This window comes from Homo sapiens, chromosome 5 (assembly GCF_000001405.40).
Source record: "Homo sapiens chromosome 5, GRCh38.p14 Primary Assembly".
Classification (NCBI taxonomy): Eukaryota; Metazoa; Chordata; class Mammalia; order Primates; family Hominidae; genus Homo; species Homo sapiens.
This window is the reverse complement of record NC_000005.10, coordinates 154,796,446-154,818,102: the sequence shown is the minus strand read 5'-3', so window position 1 is coordinate 154,818,102 and position 21,657 is coordinate 154,796,446. Positions and strand designations below refer to the sequence as shown.

At 45.2% G+C, this 21,657-nt stretch overlaps 1 protein-coding gene across 19 annotated transcripts in view; it reads right to left on the bottom strand.

The window, feature by feature from the left end:
• Window positions 1-497: 497 nt before the first annotated feature.
• LARP1 (La ribonucleoprotein 1, translational regulator) overlaps window positions 498-21,657 on the bottom strand; it is a 134,627-nt gene continuing 113,467 nt past the window's right edge. For all 19 annotated transcript variants that reach the window (XM_047417041.1, NM_001367714.1, NM_001367713.1 and 16 more), the window contains 11 exons: window positions 18,344-18,512; window positions 18,061-18,230; window positions 15,704-16,096; window positions 14,690-14,813; window positions 14,358-14,563; window positions 13,796-13,902; window positions 12,071-12,222; window positions 9,500-9,644; window positions 6,747-6,856; window positions 6,463-6,590; window positions 498-4,216 (listed from right to left, as the gene is read on the bottom strand). In XM_047417041.1, coding sequence (XP_047272997.1) covers window positions 4,007-4,216; window positions 6,463-6,590; window positions 6,747-6,856; window positions 9,500-9,644; window positions 12,071-12,222; window positions 13,796-13,902; window positions 14,358-14,563; window positions 14,690-14,813; window positions 15,704-16,096; window positions 18,061-18,230; window positions 18,344-18,512 — 1,914 coding nt within the window. In that variant the 3' untranslated portion in view covers window positions 498-4,006. The remainder of the gene's footprint in view (window positions 4,217-6,462; window positions 6,591-6,746; window positions 6,857-9,499; window positions 9,645-12,070; window positions 12,223-13,795; window positions 13,903-14,357; window positions 14,564-14,689; window positions 14,814-15,703; window positions 16,097-18,060; window positions 18,231-18,343; window positions 18,513-21,657) is intronic.

Sequence of the window (21,657 nt, the reverse complement as noted above, 5' to 3'; positions counted from 1 at the left end):
ACTCTTTGTTCCATCCCTCCCCAGCATCACATCTCAGGGTTCGGGGCTGACCAGGATTCCGTAAGTCCACATGGTGCTGGATCATTCCTCCTTCACCCCCCTGTGGAAAAGTCTGTTCATAGAGGGGTTGTGGCAACCCTCCATAAGAAGCCTCATCGTTTTTCTTCTTGGCTGTCTCATAACACAATGCAGGCCACAGCCAGGGGATGGAAAACCTGGAAGCTGACAAGTGCGCTGAAATCCTGGCATTATGCTGGACTGCTGTTTTGTGGCACTGGCTATGACTGTCACGTCTCACTTAAGACACAGGGTGGACATGAACTCAAGGCTTGTAGAAGCCCCTGCCTTAGGCAGACTCCTCGAAGCCCAATGGCAGAACCCCTGCCGAGGTTTCATGTGCACATTGAGTGCAGGGTTCCTCCGGATCTGGGGGAACTCTACCAGAAACCCATCCTTCACACCCAATAGCAGTAACCTAGATGGAAGACCAGCCAGTATTTTGCCTTTTCAAGTGTTTATTTTTATACATTTTTTTGTATTAAAAAGAAAAGCATAATTACCACAAATTACAAAGGACTAAAGCAGGACTAGAATAATGAATGAATCACTTCAGCCTGGAAAGCAGATACTCTCAATAATATTAATGTTATAATACAAGCTCATTCAAGTATTTTACATTTTTTTGTCCTTTTAAATATGATATCCTAGCACATAGTAAAGATAATGTACTACGAGCGTAAGGTGGAACCTTCTCCGCAAAGCCAGATGACAAGTTTTCCTCTCCAGTGAGAAATGGGCTCCAAGTTCTTATCTTCTCTGCCATCAGCATGGCTGAAGGGGGAGAGGGTGGGTGTTAGGGAAAATCCAGGGACCCTTCCACACAGGAGGTACTCTGGGGTTCCATTCAGGAGGGTGCCAGATAATTCAGATCACTCTACCCAGGCTTTTTGGCAAAAAACAACCCTCACCCTCCGTAACTAGTCATCTTCCTTGTCCCTCCTCCTCACTTCCCTTCCAGGGCCTTCTAAGCAGCTTACTTTCTTTTGTAAAATCAATCACCAGGAAAGGGGAAAAAAAAAAAAAAAGAGCTACAATGGAACAAAACAAAAACATTTAACAACTTTGACACAGGGGCTCAGCACCTCTATCTGAGCCCCAGGGGTCCAGGCTGGGGCACGGCTGGATGGCCCTTCTCTACTGGTAGTGCCTTTGCTCCCAAGTGCAGGAAGAGGGCTAAAGAGAAACCTGCCCCTTAACAGGGCTGAGGCACACAGACCTGCTGATGTCTGATGCCCAGAGGTTATGTTGGCATGGACCAACCTTGGAAGGGATAGGATGAACAGAGGGATCTGGGCAGGCTGTTGCTTTATCTCAGGTCTTGGATCCCCATGGGACGATGGTAGGTGTGAAGTGGTTAGCCCTGATGGCCCCTGCCACTTCTGGCATGCTTGTCACAGATACATCGGTCCTAAATTCAAGTGTCTTCAGAAAGTGAAGATGTAAACTACTCTTTGCAACATTAACTCCTAACATGTTACCAAAAACAAAAACAAAAACAAAAACAAAAAAAAAGGAAAGAAAAGAAAAAGCTCCCCTACCAACCACCAGCCGATGTTGAGATGAAGTCCTCACCTCCCTGCCCCAAAGGGGCTTCCTTTCAGGGATGTCTGTGAAGAAGATGGCAGCCCCCTGGCCTGGGAGTAAACTCTAGGTAATAACAGCCTTTCCCCATACCCTAAGGCTTCCTTGTGCCCCAAACCAGCAGAGGAAAAACACTGAGGTTTCTGTGGTGCTGGATACAGTACAGGGCTGCGTGACCTGAAGGAAAGAAAGGAAAGGAGAAGGGGGTCCAGGAATCCAGTGTCCGGTACAATGTGGGGCAGGCACCAGACTGGGCAGGGAAAGGCCTCGGATACCACCATCATAGCAGAGACCAGACGCTCATCCTTGGTTTGAGACATGAAGTCACAGGAACTGAGATGGGCTTCCCACATACCAACCACTGGGAGGGCAAAGGTGGGGAAGGGCACAGGCTAAAAATTAACAAGGTGCCCAAGGTAAAGGGCAAGCCCTTGTCAGCCTGGGATACTGTCTCCTACTCCCAACCTTTGGGCCCAACAGAGGAACCAGTTGAAAAGGAGGGCCAAAGACATTGCAGTAAGTAAGCAACAGGACAATGAACTCCATGTTGCCCAGATCCCACTGAGAGTGAACGTGCAGTCATGCCCATAACCGACACACATCCCAGTCCATGTGGGTCAGTCCTTCATCACCCTCCCTGCCTTCTGACAACAGCAGACTCCAGCCATTCCATTATCATTCACAGCCCAACCCAAGCAGTCAGTGGCTGAAGAAAGAGAATCAGGTATACTCTATGTCCACATATACCTTCCTGCCACAGGGCTTCACCAACTGGCAGGATTCCCCCCAGCCCCCAACTCCTCCTCATCCCTTGTTCCCAGGCGGGTCAATTGGAGAGTGAGCAGAGATAGATGGCTTGCAGAAGGGTATGCAAGATGGGGAGACTCCACCAGACCTTAGGGAGAGAATGGCATCTTTCTCCACCTTTTAAGAGAGACAGAGCCTCCCTGAGGTCTCAAAGATTTTTCAGGGCAACACAAGAAACGTTTCCAAGCCTCAGCTGCAGGTGTTCACCTTTCCACTCTGGGGTGTGAGGAGATGGTAAGCTGAGGACAAGTGTGTTCCAGATGCAGGCCAACTCTGTTCTCCAACAGTTTGAACCAACTTGGCCTTGGGGTTCCAAGGGTAGGATGAAGGGTGTCACGGCAGGACGGGGCCTGGCGTGAGGCAACAGCAAGCAGAGCGAGGACACAACAGTGGCAGCAGTGTACAGACACAGGACGTCAGCTTCAAACGATGCAACAGCAGGGATATCTTGGGCACGGCTCTGATTCGAGCCACTCCCAACTCTCTTGCCTCCAGGATGGAGGCACTGTACATGCAACAGTCCAGAGAAAGATTCTAGCCAGTCCAAGCCCAGGCACATCCAGAGAAGGTGGGAGCTCTTCGGGTTGACTCCACCGAGGAAAACAGGCATTTGGGTATTTCAGATTCCCGCTCCACAATAAGGCAACTTTTAAAAAAATATTATTTCCAAAAACAAAACAAAAATTCCAAGGGGAGGGGAAAGACATTACTTTCTGTGGATTAGGTGGGGGTTTTCTGATTTTTTTTTTTTTTTTGGTCTTTTATGGTCGATTTTGTCTTTTTTCTTCTTTTTTCCCCATTTTTTCAAGGATGGAAAGGTCAGAGAAAAATAAAATAAAACATCTTTCAATAGTCTTTCCTGGTAAAAGCAGCGTCTCTCTGGGCTGGGGAGTAAAGGGTGTGGGGCAAGGGGAGTGGGGAGAGGCTGAAACCTTCCCCCAAACCCCAGTTTTAGATCCTTTGGTTTCCTTCTCCCAGAAGATGGCAGAAGGGCATGGTGGGAACAGCAGGGAGAAAATATGGTGATGACAAACCCCAGATGATCAAGGGGCTGATGCTCCTGGGGCCCAGAGGTACCACCAGAGCCTTCTATGAGACAGTGCTGGGCAATGGGGGGGCCCGCAGGGCCTTCTTGTGGGCTGCATAGTTGGCTTGAGGGGGAGCAGGAGGTTAGGGGTGGGGACCAGGGTTGCAGCCTACTAGCCTCGGGCAGGGCTGCAGAGTGATTTTGGTAATCCAGATGAACTATCAATAATTTAAAACTTGATATATATATATGTATATATATATAAAAATCTCCCCCCTTTCCCTCCCCCCTTAGAAGAAGCTAGGATGTCAAGAGTCATGGAGAGAGGAGGGGGAAGGGGATGTAGAGGCTCCTGCCCAGGGGTACCTCTGATAGCCCAAATGGTGTATACATTGCTACTCAGCACAAAGGCCTGTCCTAGTAACTCCAGGCCTGTCCCTTCATTGTCCCCTTTCCTGGGACTGGGCACCCCCATGGACTCTTACCCACCCTACCCCTTTCCCCCCTCAAGCCCCAGGGCTAAGGAGCTTTTCACTTTCCCAAAGTCTGTGTGTTCGAGTGCTGGCTTGTCCATTTGGCATCTTCCCGGACAGGCTGGCCGGTGGGTGGTGTAGGGGGTTGGCTGATCATGGCAGCAGGCCTGCTGGAAGACTGGGAGGGGCACCGCTTCCTGCCCTCACCGCCGCCACCTCCTGCTACCACTGAGTGTCGCTTGTGGTTGCCCTCCTCACCCATGGGGGGCTGCAACAGAGGAAGGAGTCACAGGTGATCAGAAGCACTATCTACGCCCTCTTCCTTGCCAGGCCCGTCTAGACACTTCCTACTTTCTACCTCCAAATATAGAAAATGAATGGGTTTAACCTTAAAAATAAATTATAAGTTATTAAGCGTTTCTTCATGCCAAGCCTTGTGCTGTTTTATGCACACTCTCTCATGGGGTCAGCATCACCCTTTGATGTGGACCCATGGACATCTGATTTTATAGATGAGGAAACTGAAGCACAAAAAAGTAACTTCCCCAGGGTCTCATAGCTGGTAACCGATAAAGACAAAATTTAGGTCTACCTGCCCCAAAAGGCCAGGCTTTTATCCAACCTCATTTCTGCTTCCCTTCCAAGAAGGGATCTCTTGCTCAGAAATGTGGAATGTGGCATGCAGTATGCTGCGACGTCTCAGCTCAGAAGGCCCAGATCCTTCTGGGGATCACCTCATTCTCTTCAAGGTCCAGAGGATCCTGAACTAAGACTCAGACCATGCTCCAGACTGGCCTTACCACTAACAAAGGTCTTATAACCCCGAAGACAGACGTTTCCTTCCCATTTTGGGAACCAAAACTGAGTCCTTGTTCCACCCTAATAGGTCTACTTATCACAAAGGTTCTCTGTGACTTGTACCCTGCTCCCCTCCCTTCTCCTCCTCAAGGGTGGAAATGCTTAAGAATAAAAGAAAACAGATTTGTGTTTATATTGAGAGACCTGAGTGGCTCTGCCATTATGTCACTGGATGGCCACGAACCTCAGTTAACCTAATAAGTCCTGTCTGCGTCACCACATAAGGGTTAAATAAGGTCAATGTAAAGTACCTGGCACATAATAAACACTTAATAAATGGCAGTTTTAAAATAATAAATGTGATGATTTGGCTGTGTCTCCACCCAAATCTCGATCTTGAATTGTAGTTCCCATAATCCCCACATGTCGCGGGAGGGACCAGGTGGAGATAATTGCATCATGGGGGCAGTTTCCCCCATCTTGTTCTCGTGATAGTGAGTGAGTTCTCACAAGATCTGACGGTCTTATAAGGGGCTTTTGGGCCGGGCGCGGTGGCTCATGCCTGTACTCCCAGCACTTTGGGAGGCCAAGCAGGTGGATCACAAGGTCAGGAGTTTGAGACCTGCCTGGCCAACATGGTGAAACCCCATCTCTACTAAAAATACAAAAATTAGCCAGGCGTGGTGGTGCGCACCTATAATCTCAGCTACTCAGGAGGCTAATGCAGGAGAATCACTTAAACCCGGGAGGCGGAGGTTGCAGTGAGCCAAGATCGTGCCACTGCACTCTAGCCTGGGTGACAGAGCAAGACTCTGTCTCCAAAAAAAAAAAGGGGGGGTGGGGGGGGGGGGCTTTTACTTCCCTTCACTCTGCACTTCTCCTTGCTGCCACCATGTGAAGAAGGATGTATTTGCTTCCCCTTCTGCCAAGATTTTAAGTTTCCTGAGGCCTCCCTGGCCATGCAGAACTGTGAGTCAATTAAACCTCTTTCCTTTATAAATTACCCAGTCTCAGGTATGTCTTTATTAGCAGAGTGAGAAGAGACTAATACAAAATGTTAAGGGCTAGTCTAATTGTCATTTACTTGCATTTGCCTTTTTGCTAAAAGGTTTGAAGGGAATAAGACAAAGAGACATCTCTACTACATTATAAACTCTCAGAAGGAAAAACTGAGCCTCTTTCCCTTATCTCTAAAGCACCGAGCACAGAGACATCCAATCAGTATCTGCTGAATCAATTAAATCACTCCAACTTCCCTTGATATACCCAGCAGTAATAACCCAGCCCTGCCACTGGATGTCACCGTTGAGGCGCTGCTCCAAGAACATAAGAGACCTGGGCATTAATTTATAAACTGGGGTTGGAATTGGCTTTTTCCAGAAAGAACAAATGTGTGTATCTTGGATACCCATCCTGATCAACTAGTAGTGGCTAACTTGGGCACAGTAGCAAGGAGGATGGTGAGATAGGAGAGAAAGAGCATTATGATGGTACCACAGAAAGGGTAAGCAGGAGCAACCATACAACTATCTCCAACTAGCCTTCATTGGCCACTCACTCTCCATTTTAAAGGTGAAAAAGCAAAGCCCAAATTGTGGGGAGCAGGGAGAGGGGTTCCTGGGCTAGGGGCACAGCTGGACCAGAATCCAAGTATCCTGATTCCTGGTCCAGTTTTCTTTCCAGGACAAGCAGAGTTAGAGAAAGAGTTTCACTTACATCTACTCGGAAGTCTTCAAGACGTCGGAATTTGCCGAGGTATTCTTGCAGTTTGGGGTCAATGTCCAAATTTTTGGCTTTGGAATATTTCAAGAAGGCCCAGAACTTCTCCAGCCCATACAGTTGGCCTGTAGGGAGAGGTACAGAAAAGCTGAGCTGGTGAGGATAAAGAAGCTCAGAGGAGAGAGGGAGGTGTTGTGTAATACACAGAAAGACCCAGGTCCAACTGGGGAAGAGGAGGCCTACATGACCAGGCCTCACTCAGATCCAACTCTGGCTCTTACCAGCTTCATAGTCCTTCACCGTTTCCTCCTGAAAATCCTTGAATATGTCCAGCCGGAACTTCTTTTCCAGGCCATAACTGTAGTATCGAAAAAGGCACTCCAAACCATATCTGTAGAACACAAGTCAGTGAAATCAGGGCAGTTTCTTCATCTGTAAAACGGGAAATGTGCCTGCATAACAGAGGAACTATGAAACAGTTTAAACTACATGTTATTTCTGTATTGAAAAAACAGCATACACGCTTTTAGAATGCTAGTCTAAGTGGGTCCAGCATAAAATGTTCAGAGATTTCCTGCAGTCAAGGAACTCTGTCCCCCTGCCACAGACATTTGTTTACTCCTATTCTTTTATGAAGTATCTATGGTTGCTTTCTGCTACAATAACAGAGTGAACGGAGTTGAGTAATTACGACAAACACCTTATGGCCAACAAAGCCTAAAGTATTTACTGACTCTTTCTAGAAAAAGTTGGCCAATCCCTGGTATAACTCTGCAAAGCCATTTGACCATGCCAATTAGTAGGTTTGTTCATTTATCTGACTCAGAAATTTCACTTCAAGGAACACATGCGGCCAGGCGCTGTGGCTCATGTCTATAATGCAAGCACTTTGGGAGGCCAAGGCACGCAGATCACTTGAGGTCCGGAGTTCAAGACCAGCCTGGCCAACATGGTGAAACCCCATCTCTACCAAAATACAAAAATTAGCCAGGTGTGGTGGTGGGTGCCTGTAATCTCAGCTACTCGGGAGGCTGAGGCAGAAGAATCGCTTGAACCTGGGAGGTGGAGGTTGCAGTGAGCCGAGATTGCGCCACTGCACTCCAGCCTAGGTGACACAGTGAGACTCGTCTCCAAAATAAAATAAAACAAAACAAAAACAAACACATGCCAATAGATTTAGATCTTTTTTTTTTCTTTTTTTTGAGACAGAGTCTCGCTCAGTCACCCAGGCTGGAGTGCAGTGGCACGATCTTGGCTCACTGCAACCTCTGCCTCCTGGGTTCAAGCCATTCTCCTAGCTCAGCCTCCCGTGTAGCTGGAACTACAGGCATGTGCCACCACACCCAGCTAATTTGTGTATTTTTAGTAGAGACGGGGCTTCACCATGTTGGCCAGGCTGGTCCCAAACTCCTGACCTCAAGTGATCTGCCTGCCTCGCACTCCCAAAGTGCTGGGATTACAGGTGTGAGCCACAGCACCCAGTCCAGATTTAGATCTTAACAGATGTACCAAACTGTTTACAGCAGCATTAATTAAGCAAAATACAAATGTCAACGAATAGAGATGCAATTAAGAAAAATCATGGCAAATCTATACAATGGAGTAATATAAGCTATTAGAAATTAATAGTAAGGCAGGGCGCGGTGGCTCACAAAGTAATCCCAGCACTTTGGGAGGCTGAGACAGGCGGATCACAAGGTCAGGAGATCGAGACCATCCTGGCTAACACAGCGAAACCTCGTCTCTACTAAAAATACAAAAAAAATTAGCCAGGCGTGGTGGCAGGCGCCTGTGGTCCCAGCTACTCGGTAGGCTGAGGCAGGAGAATGGCGTGAACCCGGGAGGTGGAGGTGGAGGTTGCAGTGAGGCAAGATCGCACCACTGCACTCCAGCCTGGGCGACAGAGCGAGACTCCACCTCAAAAAAAAAAAAAAAAAAGAAATAGTATAAATGTATACTTAAGGATACTGAAGAATGCTTACAATAATACATTATCAAATGGAAAAGACATGTTCAAACATGTTAGACGTAGAATGAGCCCATGAGTCCATTTTTGTAAACAAGTATGTAAATTTTACAACTACACATGCATACAAAGTCTGGAAGAGCACAAACTTCATAGGATGAGCTAAATACATTAAATATGCCAAGAAGAAACTAGGAAGCTTGATGGCAGAAGAACACTTGCTGTCTCTGGAATGATGGATGTTTTCATCAGCTTTTCCAAACTTGTCTTTTTTCATGTAGTTTACAGAGAGCACATTTTACATTGAAAATTGGGGAGGGGGTGGGGGTGTGGGGAGGTCTTTTTTTTTTTTTTAATAGAAACAGGGTCTTACTATGGCAGAACGATCGCTTGAGCCCAGGCTGGTCTCGAACTCCTGGGCTCAAGTGATCCTTCTGCCTTGACCTCCCGAAGCGCTGGGATTATAGGCGTGAGCCACCCAGCCAGGAAAAAAGGACTCAAGGTTTTTTTAATAGCAAAATATTGGAAACAACCTAAGTATCCACTAATAGGAGATGGACTAAATAAATCATGGTACATCCATATAAGACCATGTTACAGCCCATAAAAAAAGAACAACAAAGTTAATTATGTACAGATATAGAATGATCTCCAAAATATAGTATTAAACAAAAACAAATGCAAGGTGCAAAAAATATTATAACGTAGGCCAGCTTTTGCGTAAACAAAAGGAGTGGTAGTGGCATGGAAGACTACACAGATGTCTACTTACTTACATAGGGTCCTTTATAAAGGACCCACAAGATTCTAATACTGGTTGCCTGTGGGGAAAGACACCAGATGGGTGGGGGACAGGGATAAGACAACTCTTCATTATACAACCTTTTAAAATGTTTGAAATTTGAACCATGTGAATATACTGCTCATTTAAAAACAAATTTTTCATCAAGTATATGAATGAACATACACATGCAAGGAATTTCCAACTACAGTTCTGGAAGCAGACCAACTAGGGATCCCACATCATCCCTAAGCACCAGCCAAAGTCCCCCACCCAAACCTGCTCACCTGTAGCCTTCTTTGGCGTCCTCCAGAGCCAGCTGCTTGAACTCCTCATACATCTTTTTGTTGAAGTGATCTCGGAGGAAGAAGGACCAGAAGCGGAAGAGTGTGTTCATCTCCTGAGACTGGCCAATGCCCAAGCGTTTCCGCTCTGATGGGAAAGAAAGGAGGAAAGGCATGTCTCAGGTTCAGGCTGCCCTTGCTTCAGGGAGAAAGGATCCTGGAACTTAAGACTTGGTCCTTTCTCATGTACTTCCAAATCCCCTCACTCATCATCTGCCACTCAGTCATTCAGCAGATATCTATTGAGCACTAACCACTCTGCCCCAGGCCCTGATGCTGGGAGCTGGGCCTGTACTTTTCCAGGAGCAGGTGGCAGCAGCTTCTGAACCAGGCTGGCAGTCTAGCTCTTCACCTCAACTGGTACTACTTTCAAGTGCCGTCGAGACAAGACAAGGCATGAACAAATTGTTTGTAAATTCTAACAAACTGTATTTAGCTCATTACCAATATTTACCTCAAGAGTCCTACAATAGTCACAAGTACAAAACAGTAATATCAAAAAATGCACAACACCAAAAGCACAAGCAACAAAACAAGAGAAAATGAATATCATTAAAACAAAAAAATTTTGTGCATCAAAAAAGTGAAAAGATAACCCATAGAATCAGAGAAAATATTTGCAAATCACGTATTTGATAAAGGAATTCCTACAACTTAATAACTAGAAAAACAATCCAGTTAAAAAAGCATCTTGGCTGGGCAAGGTTGCTCACGTCTGTAATTCCAGCACTTTGTGAGGCTGAGGAGGGAGGACTGCTTAAGGCCAGGAGTTCAAGACCACCATGGTCAACATAGTGAGACCCCTGTCTCTACAGAAAACTTTTAGTAATTAGATTGGTATGGTGGAGCATGCCTGTAGTCCCAGCTACTCAGGAGGCTGAGGCAGGAGGATTGCTTGAGCCCAATAGTTCGAGACTGCAGTGGGCTATAATTAAGTCACTGCATTCCTGCCTGGGTGACAGAGTAAAACGCTGTCTCAAAAATAAATGTTAAATAATAAAAATAAAGAAAAATAGACAAACAATAACAAGTGTTGGAAGGATGTGAAAAACCAGAAGACTCACATATTGCTTTTAGAAATATAAAACGAAAATTTTATATTTCAATATAAAATTCCAAAATTTCCACTTTGGAAAACAGAGTTTAATTTTGTCAAAGGGTTAAACATGGTTACCCCATGACCCAGCAATACTACTCTTCTAACCAAAATAAAGGAGAAACTACGTCTACAGGAAACCTGTATGTGAATATGCCCAGTAGCATCATTCACAATAGACAAAAAGTAGAAACAACCCAAATGCCAATCAACTGATGAATGGATACACAAAATGTGATACATCCATACGATGGAATATGATTTGGCAATAAAAAGAATAAAGTACTGATGCATGCTATGACATGAACCTTGCTGTGTATTTGTTAGTATACCAAATATACTAAGGGGAAGAGGCCAGTAACAAAGGACCACATACAGTATAATTTATGTGAAATGTCCAGAATAGGCAAAATCCTTAGAGGCAGAAAGTAGGTTAGTAGTTTCATAGGGCTGGGAGGATTCTGGGGGTGGGGAGTAGTTTGCATGTATAATGAGTATGACTGGTAAGGGGCATAGCATTTTGGGGGTAATGAAAATGTTCTAAAATTGATTCTGGTGATGGGCACACAACTATATGAGTACACTTAGAGCTATTACATTGTATTCTTTAGGTATGTTCCATCATATGTAGATTATATCCCAATAAAGCTGTTATTACACATAGAGTAAGAAAGAGAGAAGTGAAGTGGATGAATCAAGAATTTAGCAACCACGTTTTGTTGAATGAAAGAGGATGAATGAGTTAATAACTACAGGTGACTAGATTGGTTTTGCGCGTCTTTACAGCCAACCTATCAGAATACTAAAAGAGCAGGGACAGACAAGAGCATCTAGACAGGCTCGTTCCTTACACTATCATCTAGAGAGGGGATCAGCAAACTACTTTTGTAAAGGGACAGAGAACAAATATTTCAGGCTTTACAGAAGACATATAGTCTCTGTCACAAATCTTTTTTTCTTACAACCCCTTAAAAATGTAAAAACTGTCCTTAGCTCCAAAGCCATACGAAAACAGAATACTGGCTGGATTTGACTCACAGGCCAGTTTGGCAACCTTTGTTCTAGAGAGCATATGTCACCTCTTACATACCCTTTTGTGATGGACAGTGGACTAGACCTGACAATGGCTGAGTCAGTAATCTTGCCAGAGATATGGAAATACTTAATTGACAGCTTTAATAATCAATAGAGGAAGATCAAAGAACACGAACGTTGTGAGTGCCATATCCCCCTAGCTTCCTACAGTTTAAAACTACCTGGCCCGAGTCTAACTTCAGTCTTTCTTGCTATAATGTCATGTCTTTTTTTTGCTCTGAAGTCAGAGAAAAGAGTCACCTATCCCCGTATCCCCCAACTCTTATACTCTGGGTCTAAATAACGGGCCCAGAGGCTCATCTCCTGCCCCCCACACTTCTTACCATTAAGGCAGCGCCTACGATACTTATGGTAGACGTGTTGTGTGAAGCCATTTTCCTTGAGCAGTTCATGGGAAGGATGCTGGAACTTGGGCAATGACTGAGGGGTACAGCCATAGCTGCCAACTGTAGGCGTCCCTTCTGAGGGGCTGGAGCTACAGAAACCACAAAAAATACTGTCACCAGGTTCCCCACAGCAGCCCCACCATGTCAGGAGGGGTCCCTCTGATCCGTTCTGTCAGCCAAGATCCATCCTCTCACAGGGTATCAAACAAGGAGGCCCAGTTACGGACCTTTAACTTATATCCATGGGTCTGATTAACTCTGCATCAACTCTCAGAGAGTTTTACAGAGGATACTGAGGCTTACAGAGATTAGGAGACTCATCCAGGGTCATAAGACTATTTAATGGCAGAAACGTGTCCAATGATAAAACTTGAGCTTTTAACCATTTATTAACTTTAAGCATTTAACCTTTTAATGAGCCATCATGGGTCAATCCATCTACAGTGAACCCTTGAACAACATGGGTTTGAAATGCATGGATCCACGCGTGGGTCCACTTATACGCAGATTTCTTCCACCTTTGCCACTCTTGAGACAGCAAGACCAACCCCTCCTTCTCAGCCTGCTCAATGTGAAGACCATGAGGATGAGGACCTTTATGATGATTCCCCTTTGCCACTCGAGAGAGCAAGACCAACCCCTCCTTCTCAGCCTGCTAAACATGAAGACCACGACGATGAAGACCTTTATGATGATTCTACTTCCACTTACTGAACAGTAAATATTTTCTCTTATGATTTTAACTTTTATTTTAGGTTCAGAGGTATGTGTACAGGTTTGTTAAGTAGGTAAACTGTACCTCACTCTCCTCCCTCTCCCCACCAAGTAGGCCCCAGTGTTTGTTGTTCCCTTCTTTGTGATTTTCTTAGTAATATTTTTTATTTAGCTTATTGTAAGAATACAGTATGTAATACATATAATATGCAAAACATGTGCTAATTGACTATATGTTATTGGTAAGGCTTCTGGTTAACAGTAGGCTTTTGGAGAGTCAAAAGTTATACACGGATTTTCAACTGTGTGCAGCTGGGCACCCCACGCCCTTCGTTGTTCAAAGATCAATTGTATATTTTCTTCAAAAGCATGCCTATTTGCAGTCTGTGCCATCTCTGCAGGGAGTAGAGAGCATTGGTCATAGGTAGGTGGCTCTCAAAGCTTGCTTTGGGAAACAGGAAACACACACTGGGGCCATCTTACTGAAATAAATAAAAAAGAGTGTGGGCCCTACCCCAAGAAGCAGGGTCAGCAGATACAGGTTGGGGCCAATAAATATGTATTTTTTTAATTTTTAAAACTTTTCAAGTAGCCTCCCAAGACATAGTAGGCTCAGAGAGACTGCCAGAAATCTGTTTATTCAACTACCTGGCTATTCTTCCTCAGACAGAAAGTAGATAGCCAGGCTTGGAAACCAATTCAGAGATTTTCTCTCTGCATGTATGAAAATCTGGTCTCACGTGACTGCCACACCACTTCTTTAGGAAAAAAGCCTACCCGTCATTCCCAGGTCCTGGGCTGAGCTTTCCACACCACTGGTTTTTTGAAAACCTCTTAGATGAGGGTCCCTTTAATTTTCAGACCAATCTTCTTGGTCCAGTCAATTTCATGGCTCGCCCACCCATCCCATAGGCAGCCTGATCACTCTTCCCCCACTGCCCCAGGTACCTGATGGAAGCAGTACGGGGCCTGTGCTCACGGGAATCCATCACCCAGCCCACATGGCTCTCCAAGGGTGGGTTTGAACTGTGTCTTGTCTTTCTTTTTCGAGGCATCTGCAAAGGTTAGCCCAGGGTTTGTTACTGTTTGTACTCCTACAACTCTGAGGAGCATCAAGCACTTGTAGGACTAAGATGGGCATGATCTCTCACATTTTACAACAGCATTTTCATATTCATTCTCGTATAAAGTTCACAGTGGTGAGCTAGGAACTGGTATGCCTATTTCAAACAGGTGAAGAAATCAAGGTTTGGGAATGCAGTGATTTGCCCAAGGACTCATACCTGGTCAATCCTCCTTAGGCCTTTCAACATGGGGTTACCACTCCCACACCCAGTATATTTTGCAGATGTGGCTACCTAATCCTAGGTAAGCCCACCAGCCTCAGAACACAGAGCAGGTGAAGGATTTAGCACTTCCTTAGCTCAGACAAGGCAAGGGAGAGAAGCAAAGCACTGGAATGCAATGAAGTAGACCCAAGACTCTGAGCAGCCCGACAGGAATGCCTCACCTTGGCATCCAGTGTCCGTCCTTCTTTCACCACTGGGTAAAACCGTGATGTCTGGCTTGAGTCTTTGAGCTGTGGTGTCCGGGGAGTGCGAGGGGTCCTGGTGTTGCGGTAGTTTGGTGACTCTGGGACAGTGGTTGGTAGAGAGCGGGCGATGGTGGAGGGCTCAGGAGCACCAAACAACTTGTTGGCCAGGGCATCCGTAGGAACTGCAGAGGCAGAGAGAGGAGTCAGGAAGCAGGGAAAGGCCTGTGGCATCCACCCCAGGATAGCCCCCAGTCCAAGGGCCCTAGATCCTCTCACCCATGTCAGGATCTCAGGTGTCTGCTTCTCACCTTGCTGGAACCGAGGTGGCCCAGGAGGAACTTCCTGGTTGGGATCCACAGGGGGCTCAGGGGTCAGTGTGTCAAACTGCTCCCGGCTGATCATATTGACCTTTTTGAAGTTCTCGACTTCTTGCTGCAGAGGTCATGAGATGAGTGGGGAAAGATGTAAGTAAGCAGGCTGCTCTAGCCTGTTTAAGGAATCAAGACTGGCAGGAAGTTGGAGAGGGCAGCTCCCACGTCGACATACGTGGAATTCTGGTCCCCAGGCTCTCAGCTGCCCAGTCACCATTCCTCACCCCAGTTACCTTGGCACAAGTGTGCTAGCCCAGAAGAAGACAGTGCTTGCCCTGCCCTCCCTGTAGTAAGACTGAGATCAGGCTGACAGTAGCTCCTCAGGAACTCACTACACACTCCCCCCTGAAAGCTCCAGTGTTTCCCCATCTCTCTTTCTGCTACTGCCTTATCACACAGTGGCTGGGCAACTCTCCTTCCTCCTTACTTCCAGGAAACACACTGCTACTTATTACAAAGGCTCACCCTAGGACAACCTACCACCAAACATACCCACTCTAAAATCCCACAACAGAGATGTTTTGACTATTTCCAGGCAGCAGCAATTTTTCAAAAGACTTATCTTTTCTCCATTTTCCATACTCAACACAAGCTTCTTAAAAGGCTTCTAAATTTTTAGATGCCTAAATATTTAAGACTAGAAATAACAATCTAACCCTTTTTCTGTTCCCCACAAAAGTGTCTAGCCAACTGTCAGAATATTAACTATGGATCCGCAGATAGGATAATAATCACCACCGCCTCACCTGAAGAGTTTGCAGTGTTTACACATCACCCCTCACTCCTAATGCCCAAGCTAGATGTCAGTCATCATCCCCTTCCCATATATAAAAATCCTGAGACTCTGAATTATAAGGACCTGCCTAAAATTGCACAGCTAATCAGGCTTCCTCTTCTCCGTACAATACAGGCACACCAGGCTCCACACTCACTGCTATGTCCAAGCCTCACCTTGATCTGGGAATACTCAGGTTCAAACTTTTCAGCCCACAGGTCCTGCTCATAGTAGAAGAGGCCATCATTAATGACCTTGGCCAGTTCGGCGCTCATCTTGGCACGCGAGGTGTGGTTGCCTGTGCGGTCCCCCCCTGGGTGCCGGCGCATGTAATGTGGTGTCTGGGTGACAATGAGGATCTTGTTGACATCCCTGTCATCAATCTCATAGTCAGATTCCTCATCAGACCAGGCAGTGAAGGTGTTCTTCCGCCCATCCATCTGCTCCATCTCCTCGTCAAACAGAAAATCCAGTTCCTCTTGCTCATCCTGATCCTTGGACATCAGCTGCTGGGAAGGCAGCTGCTGAGGCAGAGAGGTCAGGTGGGAAAATCTGGACTCCTCTGACTTCTAAAATAGGACAGACGAAGGGGAAAAGGAATCACCAGAGATCCTTGGCCCAGATTCTGTAGCTATACCATGAGAGGGAAGCTCCAGCCTCTCAACATAAGACTGTTCAACTATGACCCTGGTAACACCAGCAGGTCACAAGCGTCATCCTGGGAGTCAGCTTTATGACTATGAGAAAGGATGTTTCATAGAAGTCCAGGTTCCTCCACTCACAGCTCATATCACAGTCATGCACAAACAACTGATGATGACTTCTCTATAGGCAGGAACTGTGCTCTCATTTACCTTTATATCCTACATAGCACCTAGCTTAGGAGTGGACACACAGAAGTTCAGCAGGTTGATTCATCCACTTATCCATCTATTCAACATCTCCCAATAAACTGGAAGCTCCATGATCCACAGCTGCCTTGCTTTCCATTATATACTCAGTACCTAGACGGGGATCTGGTAATACCAGATGTTCAATTATATAATAAATGAGGGAGTACCCATTAGTCCTAAGCTCTGTATGAAAAACCTAAAAGCAGAATAAGACAAGGTCCCTGTTACTTAGGGAGCTCAATGGGAGAAAGTCAACCAAACAGCCAACTGCATTGTGGTATGGTAAAGGCTATAAGCAGGTTTGTGGATGCACACAGTTAAAGGAGCTTAGTCAACTGTGACTAAGAATGGTTACGGAAGGCCTCCTTCAAGAAGTGACTACCACAGGATGAACATAAGTAAGCCAGATGAAGATAGGGACAGACTAGGCAGAAAGAATACCATTGTTCCAAAGGCAAGAGAAAACACGGTGCCTTCAGCAAAGAAAAACTATTTGTTTTGATAGACTGAATATGAGACGCTGAGAGAGAAGCATTTGTCTAAACCCACAGTATTTATTCAAAAGTAGATTCCCTGCTGTGCCAAGAGCACATAAACTCTAAACCTATCTTTTTTTAAGGTTTAAGATAGACCAGGTCAGAGTAGGGGCTCTAATTCTGGAATGGGAGCTAAGTCTGACCCCTGTTTCAAACAAAACTTTGTAGGCCTGGACTTTGTAAAACCCTCATCTACTTACTACCTTTCTCCTCATGTCTCTGGCTGGATCTCCAACACTTTTTGAGGGCTGAAGCCACAACTGTGGGGAATTCTGTGTATGAACAGGCAGGCAAGAGAAAGGAGATGAGAGGTAATCACTGTGGGAAAATAGATAAGGGAGTATAGAATTCCATAGACCCAAAGTTCAAGGTCAATTCTGCAGTCTCCTCACAAGCCCCAGGCCAGAGGTCTCCAAAGTGGGTGACAGTGAGCAGGTATGTGGAGAAAAATTCAGCACTTAAAAAGGAAGTAGTAATTTTAGTTAGAGATTGCAATACTTCTTTAACAGTGAACTTCATCTGTTTATATATATAAACTATTTCTAGAATATTCTAATGTCTCCTTCCTTTCATCTGCAGATGGAGAAACTGAAGCCTTGAGGTATGAACAGGCTTCCCAAGGTCACCTTGCCATTAGTGCAGCAGACTTGTGTAGACTAACTCCATATTTGGGCCATGCATCTGCTCCCTCTCCCTTCCTTCTTCTGAGGACCTAAGGGGCTTACATACATGATAGTGGGGACATACTCAGGGAAAAGACACCAAAAACGCAGCCCCAGAAATTTAGATGGAGCAAAAAGAAGAGCCAAGAATCAAGAAGCCAGAAACATCGCTGCCAGATGCTGCATGATCCCTTAAGAAAAATGTCACCGAGGAACTCACACAGTAGGGCGCCCTAAAGGGTGGTTCCCCACAGGAAATGGAAACAAGCCAAATCAACCTTTCTGTAGCCACTACTGGTAACTTCAACTCACACTATGATCCTGAACTACCCAGATTTCCTGCTGGCCCCTCAGAGCTAGAGTGCTGTGCCCATGTGTTATCCCCTTCAAGCACCCTAGCTCAGAGTGCTAGAACCAAGGCAAGGGACAAGGCCTCACCCACCTTGGGCCGTGCTGGGGATGGCCGAGGCCTCTTCTTCACTTCAATCCAGTTCTCAGAATCCAGGTCAGGCAGGCTGGCAGACAGGCCCTTGGGTAGTGTCTTTAGGTTGCTGACCTCCTCTGTTTTGGTTGGCACTGGGGTGACTGCACGAGGAGAGCCAGGTGCCGACTCTAAAGGGTGGAAAGGGGAAGTCCTCATCCCTCCAGTCCTCCTCCTGATGCCAGCCCTGAGGAGGACTGTTGCCCAGAGGACAAGGGCAATCTTCATGCCAGCAGGTACCTACCTGTCTCCTTTTGGTAGTGCTGACGGGGAACAAATTCAGGGCAGTTGAGAAGCTGGGAGAAATCAGTCTGTGAATAATCCACTATTGGGGGAAGAGGCCACTTTTCTGGTTCCTCCCTCCTACGAACTTTCTCATCAACGATCTCCACCACCTTGCTGTCCTTTAGGGCCTGAAGGGGAGGAGAAGGAAGAGGGGATTAAGAAGAAAATCTTGGACAGAAAGATCTTGGAAATGGTAGACAACTGGGTTCCCCTGAGCTTGGTATGAGTCCAATGCTACCAGTAATATAAGAAAATTGACACCATCTTCCACGACTGGTAGATAATGTGAGATGTTCAAACTTGTAGGAGGTACCAGCATAATAAATACACCTACCCTTTTACTCTTTGAGCCTGCAATCCTACTTCCAGTAATCTGCTCTAGAGAACACTTGCACAAACAGGGAGCAGTATGTATAATATCTGGACAAAAAGCCATTCACAGTAAAACTAGAGTAGAAAAAGAACTATAAAATACCTAACTTGCCATCGCATAGGCAATTTAAATATTTACAGCATATGCATGATGGAACACTACTCAGACATTAAAAAACTTTACAGGTCGGGCCTGGTGGCTCACGTCTATAATCCTAGCACTTTGGGAGCCCCAGGCAGGCAGATCACAAGGTCAAGAGATTGAGACCATCCTGGCCAACATGGTGAAACCCCATCTCTACTAAAAATACAAAAATTAGCTGGTTGTGGTGGCACACGCCTATAGTCCCAGCTATTCGAGAGGTTAAGCAGGAGAATCGCTTGAACCCAGGAGGTGGAGGTTGTGGTGAGCCGAGATGGTGCCACTGCACTCCAGCCTGGGCGACAGGGCGAGACTCCGTCTCAAACAAACAAACAAACAAACAAACAAAAAAACAACCAACTTTACATGTGCTGAGGTGGATAAACCCACAAAATATTAATCAAAAAAGCAGGCTGGGTACAGTGGCTCACACCTGTAATCCCAACATTTTGGGAGGTCAAGGTGGGTAGATCGCTTGAGCAAAGGAGTTCAAGACCAGCCTGAGCAAAATAGCGAGACTCTATCACTACAAATCGTAAAAAGGTGGCGCTGGCATACATCTGTGGTCCCAGCTACTTGGGAGCCTAGATGGTTGAGGTTGCAGTGAGCTTTGATAACACCACTGTACTAACTCCAGCCTGGGCAAAAGAGCAAGACCTAGTCTCAAAAAAACAACCAAAACATCCATCTATAGGAGCAGCAGTTGAAAAAACATGGAGCATTCCACACAATGGTGAACTATGCAACTGTACACAGGAATGAGGAATATCTTTCTATTATATACTGCTACTTTGCAGTTAGCTCCCAGATATATTAAGTTAAAACAAAAAAGAATTGAAGAAATGCCATGTGTTGTATATTTCCATTTACCAAGGATACAAATACATGTAGAGGCATTTGCTTTTTTCTTAAATGGAAAGGTTCTAAAAAGTTTGCCTGTAAGAGAAGAAAGGGTGTAAGTGACAGAATTTAAGTCAGACTTCTATGACTATACCATGCTGAGACTCTAGAACCACGTAAATGTTTTACACAAATGTAAAACAACTTAGAAAATTATAGGGGTAGGGAGAAAGCAATCTCTAAAACTTGGAAGCAAAATAAAACTAATATATATATCAATTTAAATGTGAAACCACACAAAGATTCTTTCAAATGACTTGAAGATACTGTATAAGTGGAAAAACTGTTTTCAGTGGTAGTGGAGGTATTGTAAGAATGTAGAGCTTGGCACAATGGCTCACGCCTGTAATCCCAACACTTTGGAAGCCGAAGTGAGAGGATGGCTCAAGCCCAGGAATTTCAGACCAGCCTGGGCAACACTGCAAGACCTCATCTCTACAAAAAATTTAAAAATTAGCCACACGTGGTGTGCACCTGTAATCCTGCTACTCAGGAGGCTGAGGCAAGAGGATTGCCTGATTTCAGGCGGTTGAGGCTGCAGTAAGCCATGATCACACCACTGCAATCTAGCCTGTGAGAGCAAGACCCTCTCTCTTTAAAAAATGTTTAAAAAAAAAAAAAAAAGACGGTAGACATACTGTGAAATAAAACAAAATGAGTAATTATGTTGGTATCATTAGGAATTAAGATTATGGGCATGGAAGAAAGCAGTAGGTAAAATAAAAGATCCACAAGTCTACGTAAAGACCCTTTAATAGAAAATACCAGAACAGGCCGGGCGCGGTAGCTCATGCCTGTAATCCCACCACTTTGGGAGGCCGAGGTGGGTGGATCACCTGAGGTCAGGAGTTCGAGACCAACCTGGCCAACATGGTGAAACCCCATCTCTACTAGAAATACAAAATTAGCTGGGTGTGGTGGTGCATGCCTGTAATACCAGCTACTTGGAAGGCTGAGGCAGGAGAATTGCTTAAACCTGGGAGGTGGAGGTTGCAGTGAGCTGAGACCATGCCACTGCACTCCAGCCTGGGCAACAAGAGTGAAACTCTGTCTCAAAAAAAAAAAAAAAAAAAAAAAAAAAAACAACAACAACAAAACAGAATAACTCCATGATGTATTTTATCTCACCAAAAAACAAAAAAATCATCTAGAAAGAATGACCAACCAAGTAGCAATAAAGCACCCCTATAACTCAGACTGGTATCTAAATACCATTTCCCAAAAGAAAGGAACTAGAATTCCTTTTAAAAGTGGCCAATTCCAGATCTGGGGCAGGAAATGTATAGGGTCCCACTGACCAAAGGTGGGACAATTTGATCCAATCCATTAACTGCAATGGACCAAAATAAATACGTTTGAGCCCATAAGCTTATAATAACAAATGATACGAAAACAAACCACCAAATCTCACTGGTCACCTATGAAACCTATTAGAGATCAACTCATAATTATGCAAACTGGCTAACAAAGGGAGGAAGATCAAACATTAATCTGCCCTTCCTGAACAAACTATACCTCTTGGTAACTGAACAGTTGATGAGGCAAAGTTACTTCTTGAAGAGGTATTCCACCTAATAAATGAAGACCGACTGACAGAATTAGTATATTGTCATTTTGCAATCCTAACGAACACTGCTGGCAGCTTATAGCACAAGAGAGACAATCAAATGAAATGTTATGTGCCACCTGAGAGAAAATACATCATTATGATAAAGTATTCTTGACAAGGAGGGGAAAAAACTTCAAAACCTGAATCTGATCAGGCCTCTAGATCACAATTTACAAAAAACTTGGAGTACAGATGAACATGTTAAAATGACATCCCTGTGCCCTGTGGAAAATCCTACAGGATGTACAAC